This window comes from Homo sapiens, chromosome 14 (assembly GCF_000001405.40).
Source record: "Homo sapiens chromosome 14, GRCh38.p14 Primary Assembly".
Taxonomy (NCBI): Eukaryota; Metazoa; Chordata; class Mammalia; order Primates; family Hominidae; genus Homo; species Homo sapiens.
Window position 1 is genome coordinate 19,969,883 of NC_000014.9, and position 7,230 is coordinate 19,977,112.

The following is a 7,230-nucleotide window of genomic DNA, read 5'->3' on the forward strand; positions in this document are numbered from 1 at the left end:
AGATGAATGGTTTCCAGGTGTTTGAGGAGGGGAAGTGGTTATCTGTAAAGGGGTGCACAGGGGAGTTTTGATCATGACACATCTAGACTGTATGGTACTAGAGTCTTGAGTTTTGTGTTATGAACCTAGAGTCCCACTAATGCTCAAATTCTTTATTTGAACTCAGAAGTATAAATGTTTGCAAAATTATTTGGAGTCTCTTTACTAGAATCTATAGATACAGCATTTCTATTGTATTAATAAAGCAGCTTTCACTTTTTTACTCTAGAATCCTTGCCCTAGAAACCAAGCACATGGCTTTTGTGAAGCTGTCAAAATGCCAAGGTGTTTGCCATGTAATATGCACAGTCACATGATGACTCCCCATCAATTTTTGACACTCCCAATAGTGCTTTTCTAAAGCTCTTCGGAAGCACAAAGAAGTAGCTAACAAAATTACTCATTGCTTTTTAAAAAAAGTGTTACATCTCTTACAGAACAAAGCATTTCCATTAGGCCTGCTGCTTCTTCCATTTGTGAGATCCTCAAGGTGATGCACTATAATTCTTGTGGGCAAACAAATTGTCTCACGTAATTATCCGTGATTAAGGTGATTTCTGCTATCACAATTCTCCTCTGGGTCTCTTGGTCACTACAGTCCAGTGATGTCAAATTCCTAATTAGCTTGTAATAATCGTGATGGCTTTTCTTGTATCAGTGTGCTGAGTATACTGATACTTCAGAGTGTAAAGGGTGAAGACTGAAGTCTGGAAAGACATGGATTCTCTATCTTTGTCCCTCATCCAATGGCTCCCGGTGAATTTTGTTTTCCTGGGTAGGTGCTGATATTTTAAGGCCAAGGACAGAGATTGAGTCAGAACACAGAACAGAGACCAGAGACAGTCAATTATCCTCCATATTGTTTTAAATTAATCTTTGAATATTCTGTGCCCATTTTACCTATTTACTGTTGTCCCAATACCTAACTCTGAAGAGCAATTGCTGCATTACTTTACTAAAACCAGGAGTTTTACCCTTTTGATTGGATATACTTTAATTTCAATATAATATTGTATAATTATTCTTATCTTTGAATTGACTTACTCATTTTGGATCATGTTTTTCAAAAACCGGAGACTGCATTTGGGAGAGGGAATTCTACTCTTTTTTGAGGAAACACAGAGCACCTGGGAGGGTATGTAATTTGCTTACAATTATAAAGTTATTTAGTGAAAGATAGAATTGGAAAATATATTTTCTATATCCTAGGCTAATATGTGTATTTAATTTTTAAAAATTACATATTCTTTTATCTCAATAACTTTTAGGATACAAGAGGTTTTTGGTTACATTGATAAATTATATAGTAGTGAAGTATAACATTTTTAATGTACCTATCACCCACAAACACAAGTAGTGTACATTGTACTCAATATGGCTAATACATTTTTGATAGTCCATAATGTCTTTGGACAGCTTCTATTGATTTGAACTTCAGGTTTTTAAAGCTTATAGTTTAGAATGGTCCTTGTTAATCTATGACTAGAAAGTAATAATATAAACCACTAATGAAATTCAACATTTCTTGCTGGATATATATTCTATTTGTGAACAAAAGCATATCCCATGTATAATTCCTTAAAATATACTTTAAAATATTACTACTATTATGGTAAATTCATTATATCACTACTGCACAAGATGTTTGATTTAGTTACATAATGATTATATGTATATATATATTACATCTGTGAGAAGCAAGTAAAAAGTCACCTACACTTTGAATCAAGGGAAAGTCAGATGAAAGGAAGAAAACCCAAAATTTTCCCTGATGAAATTTTTGATAAAATGATGCAATATTCCTACTACTTCAGAGTCTTTACAGATCCCAAATCATATAAAAATCACTATTATTGATGGTACTTCCTAAAACATTCTCCAGTTTTATAGATCCAGTGAGGCTGAATCCTTTGCAAAATTGTGAAGCAGAAGGTTTTGTTTTCAGCATTTCTTCTTTTCAGTCTACTCTTTTTCTCCTTTCAGATTTCTGACTGCTCCAAATGCTCCTCTAGTTGCCTAAGACTTAGATTAAGATACAGCATCCAGACCTGTCTCACCTCCTTGAAGACAACTCAGCTACAGAAACCCTGAATCCACTTCTGTCTTATTTAGAAGTAAATTCTTTACGACTTATCTCCTGAGGGATTGTTCTGTTTTCTTAGGAGATGTGGAAGTAACAACAAAATTATTCCCAAGCATTAATGCCTATAGATTACAGGATAGCTCCACACTTTCCATTTCACCTTAGGTAAGTGAAAGTGTTTTTTCAGCATCCTTCTGAAGACCATGAACCAGCATTTGTCTCCAATATAGTCTATAATAGAGAGACTGCTATTCCTCTGATCCACATTTGGAGTGGGAGGGTCAGAGGAACAGCAATATCAGCAAGTTTGTGAAAGATATCTATTTGAACTGGTAGAGTTTGGTGGCCCCTGTAAACGATACCTATTTATTTCACTTCATCTATAGTCATAATATCTGAGATAGAAATATTGAGGCAAGATTCATTTGACAGAATTTAAAATAGGAGGGAACTGAGGTTTGCCAAGCACAGCCCTGTATACATGCATTAATCCATCTTCAAATTTTCAAGAATTTTTTTTTAAAAAAAGGTCTTTACATAAACACATCTACTTATTGGAAACTCATTATTGTGTGAGTCAGACCACATAATGTAAAATTATGAGAAAATATTTACTTCTTCTGATCTAAAATAATACATTACTAAGAATGCATACATATACTTAGTCACTACAGTTGGTTAAAGAATTTTCATTTACATAATCTTTTAATAAATATTTTTAGTGTCTCTTTAAGGTTAATAGTCTCAAGATTTAATATTTGATGATAATAGTCCCTGAATGGCTAAAGGAACTGCTCAGTGTCACACAGTTACCCAATGATACAACATAGAACATTTTAAAATAATAGCTTTGTTTTCACTACAGTACAGTGATTTTATTGGGAACAAAAAGACAGTCCGTTTTATCTAATAGGGAATGTACTGGGGGTAAAGGGAAGTGAATTCATCAGCTTGTCTAAATAACAAAGGGTTATTAATATTAGCAAATGATTTTTAGGGAGATAAGTTATAAACCTAACTGCCTCATCACCAGTGCATAGCACAGTGTCTGGGGAAAAGCAGGTATTTAAATTTATATAAAGTAAATGAACTAAACATGAATGGATTTAGGTAAGAAACAGGTTCAGAGTTCATGTGTTCCACCAGTTTCATCTTATATACTAAGAAAGTTCTTGATTGAATCAATTTGCCCAATGTTTTTCTCCATGAAAAACAGGGTCTTTTCTTTTCTGAGCACCTGAAGAAGCCGATGAAAATGGAACAACAGAGTTCTGCAGAAGAGTCAGAAAAGCTATTGGGAGGATGATTCTTATGACTGTCTTTCACACAGTTGGATTATGTGTCTTAGCCTAAAGACACCAGGAAGTTTCTGTGCTCAGAAATGCCTCCTGATGCCCCTCTCTGCTGCAGCACCGGAGGGTCTCCGTAGGACACTCATTCCTTGTGCTTATGGCTTTGCTCTTTCTGATGGAGTACCTATGAACTCCTATTCACTGATTTTGTTAGATTTTACTTCCATTCATGCCTTAGGGATTCAATGCAGTATTTATGTCACAGGATTGAAGGGTCAGGACTTCTGGGAAGTGAGAAGAAAGAGAGATTTGTATAATTTTTTTCGGTAGCCTGCTTTACCTTCAAGCTCCACTTGTTAAACTCTTCCAAAAAGCCTAGAGCCATAGTTTTGATATAATCTGTGATAATACAAGAGTCCTCCCTTATCCATGGTTTTGTTTTCAGCAGTTTCAGTTACCTCAGGTCAACTGTGGTCCAAAAATATTAACCTATTTTGAGAGCGAGAGAAAGAAAAAAAAGAAACACATTCACATAAATGCTATTTCAGTATATTGTTATACTTTTTTATTTTATTGTTAGTTATTACTGTTCATCTCTCTCTGTGCCTAATTTATAAATTAAACTTTATCTTAGGTATGCATGTATAGGAAAAATATAGCTTATATAGGGTTCAGTACTATCAGTGGTTTCAAGCATCCACTGGGGTTCTTGGAACACATTATCTGCAAATAAGGGAGAAAATTTGTATTTTTGGGGGGAGAATTGGAGATTTGAAATACAGAGGTGACTCCAAATTTGGTTTCTGAGAGTTAAAATTATTTATCACGTGTTCTGTTCTTATAAATAAACCCTCCAATCTAACCCAAAGAGAGACTAAGCAATTTGCAGCTATGATCTAAGAAGACATTAATATCAAAAGTTGCAAGTGGTTAGAAATGATTAAAATAAAAGACATCCTCTCCCAAGACCTGATTAAGATGTAGAGAAAGATTCTTCAAAATCAGATAATGTAATGCTCCTTTAAAATTCACATTTTATTTTTTCCTATTTTCCATAAAACTTTTATAAGTTCTAAATAGCTTCTACAAATAAAAATAACAAAAGGAAGAAAGCTCTGATAACATAGAATATAGAGTAACTGAATAGAAAAGAAAAATCATTTTTTTCCTGGTCTGAATTCCTTAGTAATAAGTAATATAACTTATTAGTTATATTAGTATTTATAGTAAGCAATATAACTTATAAGTTTTTAAGCCACATCACATCAAATGAAATATCAATCATAGCTCAATAAAATGTCTATGGTTAGTAACACCAATGGCTAAGTTTAAAGAAGCTTCATACCTTCAGGGATTAATTGAAAGGAACCAGTGTGCTAGATTTCATGATAAAGTAGAACTCCATGAAGAGCTGAATCATAAAAGAGTTCCAATAATATTGGGGCCTTTCAATTTTGCCAGGGTTCTGTACTTTAGTTTATATAATTTTTAACTGTAGAGAAGAAATAAGGTATAATCACTTAAGGCAATGATTTCTCCTGTGAGCTCTCTTATGCAAATCTAATGCTGTCTCTCTTTCTCTCTTGTTTTAATTTTCATAATTATGCAACTTATGTATACAAAAGTGAAAAAAGCAAAAGTTCATATTTCAGTAAGTTTTCATAAAGTAAATACTCCCATGTAACTATCAACCACATCAAGAAAGAATATTACCAGCACTTCAGAAGCCCCTCCCATGACCACTTCCTGTCCCTTAAGGATAACTGCTAGGAGGTTTTTCTACACCTTAGTTTGCCATTTTTGAACTTCATTTAAATAGACCAATACAGTGTATACTCTTCCGTATCTAACTTTTTAAGTCATCAAGTTTGTGAAATTATCTTCCTCTGTGGCAGATGTTCAAAAAATTTTTATATCATTTACTTTAGAAAAAATTGGTTTAGATTTTGTCTCCGTAGATTTTTAGACTGATTTCTGTAGTGTCACAAAAACTTCAGATGCTCAAATTCATTTTTAGATTGTTGATTTTATTTCTTAAATTAATGTATTTAGATATCCCAGTTGGTTGAACATCTCCTTGACAACCCTCCCCTTTAACGCAATCTTCCATACTTAGCTGTACTAGCTGTATAACTTGTAATAACTCATGAAAACCCAGACACATACATAGCAATAGGAATTGGAATTCTGAAAAGTTTAAGTGTAATTGGAAAATCAAACCCATGCTCACTTCATTAACTGATCTCTGTTTCTCTCCTATTCAGGTAGCTGAAATTAAGTCCCTTCCAAAATCGATGAATGAGACAAATCATTCTCGGGTGACAGAATTTGTGTTGCTGGGACTGTCTAGTTCAAGGGAGCTCCAACCTTTCTTGTTTCTTACATTTTCACTACTTTATCTAGCAATTCTGTTGGGCAACTTTCTCATCATCCTCACTGTGACCTCAGATTCCCGCCTTCACACCCCCATGTACTTTCTGCTTGCAAACCTGTCATTTATAGACGTATGTGTTGCCTCTTTTGCTACCCCTAAAATGATTGCAGACTTTCTGGTTGAGCGCAAGACTATTTCTTTTGATGCCTGCCTGGCCCAGATTTTCTTTGTTCATCTCTTCACTGGCAGTGAAATGGTGCTCCTAGTTTCCATGGCCTATGACCGTTATGTTGCTATATGCAAACCTCTCCACTACATGACAGTCATGAGCCGTCGTGTATGTGTTGTGCTCGTCCTCATTTCATGGTTTGTGGGCTTCATCCATACTACCAGCCAGTTGGCATTCACTGTTAATCTGCCATTTTGTGGTCCTAATAAGGTAGACAGTTTTTTCTGTGACCTTCCTCTAGTGACCAAGTTAGCCTGCATAGACACTTATGTTGTCAGCTTACTAATAGTTGCAGATAGTGGCTTTCTTTCTCTGAGTTCCTTTCTCCTCTTGGTTGTCTCCTACACTGTAATACTTGTTACAGTTAGGAATCGCTCCTCTGCAAGCATGGCGAAGGCCCGCTCCACATTGACTGCTCACATCACTGTGGTCACTTTATTCTTTGGACCATGCATTTTCATCTATGTGTGGCCCTTCAGCAGTTACTCAGTTGACAAAGTCCTTGCTGTATTCTACACCATCTTCACGCTTATTTTAAACCCTGTAATCTACACGCTAAGAAACAAAGAAGTGAAGGCAGCTATGTCAAAACTGAAGAGTCGGTATCTGAAGCCTAGTCAGGTTTCTGTAGTCATAAGAAATGTTCTTTTCCTAGAAACAAAGTAAACTTATGAGACTGTTACCACTTTAGCCCTGTCTCCATACACTTACAAGTGGATTCACTGTAATCTTAAAGCAAATCAACTTGGCCTGTGGGAAAGCTCAGTTGATCGATTTGAAGCAAACTGTAATGATAATAAAAACTCATGAAATAAACTTTAGTGATTTTAAATATTCTTTCTCCATTGTATATTTTTTAATATCCTACTTTGTATTCTTTATTTTAAAATTTCTTAAGATACAGACTTTGATGACATTGAGAAAATGACATTACCTTATAAATGGTTAATATACTGTTGTCTCTCCCTTTGAAAACAGTACTACTCACACCAACTTTGGAGTAATGATAGGTGCATATCTCCAAGCCACAGATATAATAGATCTATTTATAAGTATATGATATGTGATATACAGTATGTGATAGATCTAGATACGAATGCATTTTATACTGCACTATATATCTGACAGCACATGAAGACACGTCTATGAATGGTGTGAAAGATACAGTAAAATGTAAAAGGGCATGACTACCCAGCAGAAGGCATTTACATTT

The 7,230-nt window shown here is 34.8% G+C and overlaps 1 protein-coding gene across 1 annotated transcript; it reads left to right on the top strand.

The window, feature by feature from the left end:
* Positions 1-5,708: 5,708 nt before the first annotated feature.
* OR4K15 (olfactory receptor family 4 subfamily K member 15) lies at positions 5,709-6,683 on the top strand. The gene has a single exon (NM_001005486.2). The coding sequence runs from the start codon at positions 5,709-5,711 to the stop codon at positions 6,681-6,683; it is 975 nt and encodes a 324-aa protein (NP_001005486.2).
* The last annotated feature ends 547 nt before the right edge of the window (positions 6,684-7,230 follow it).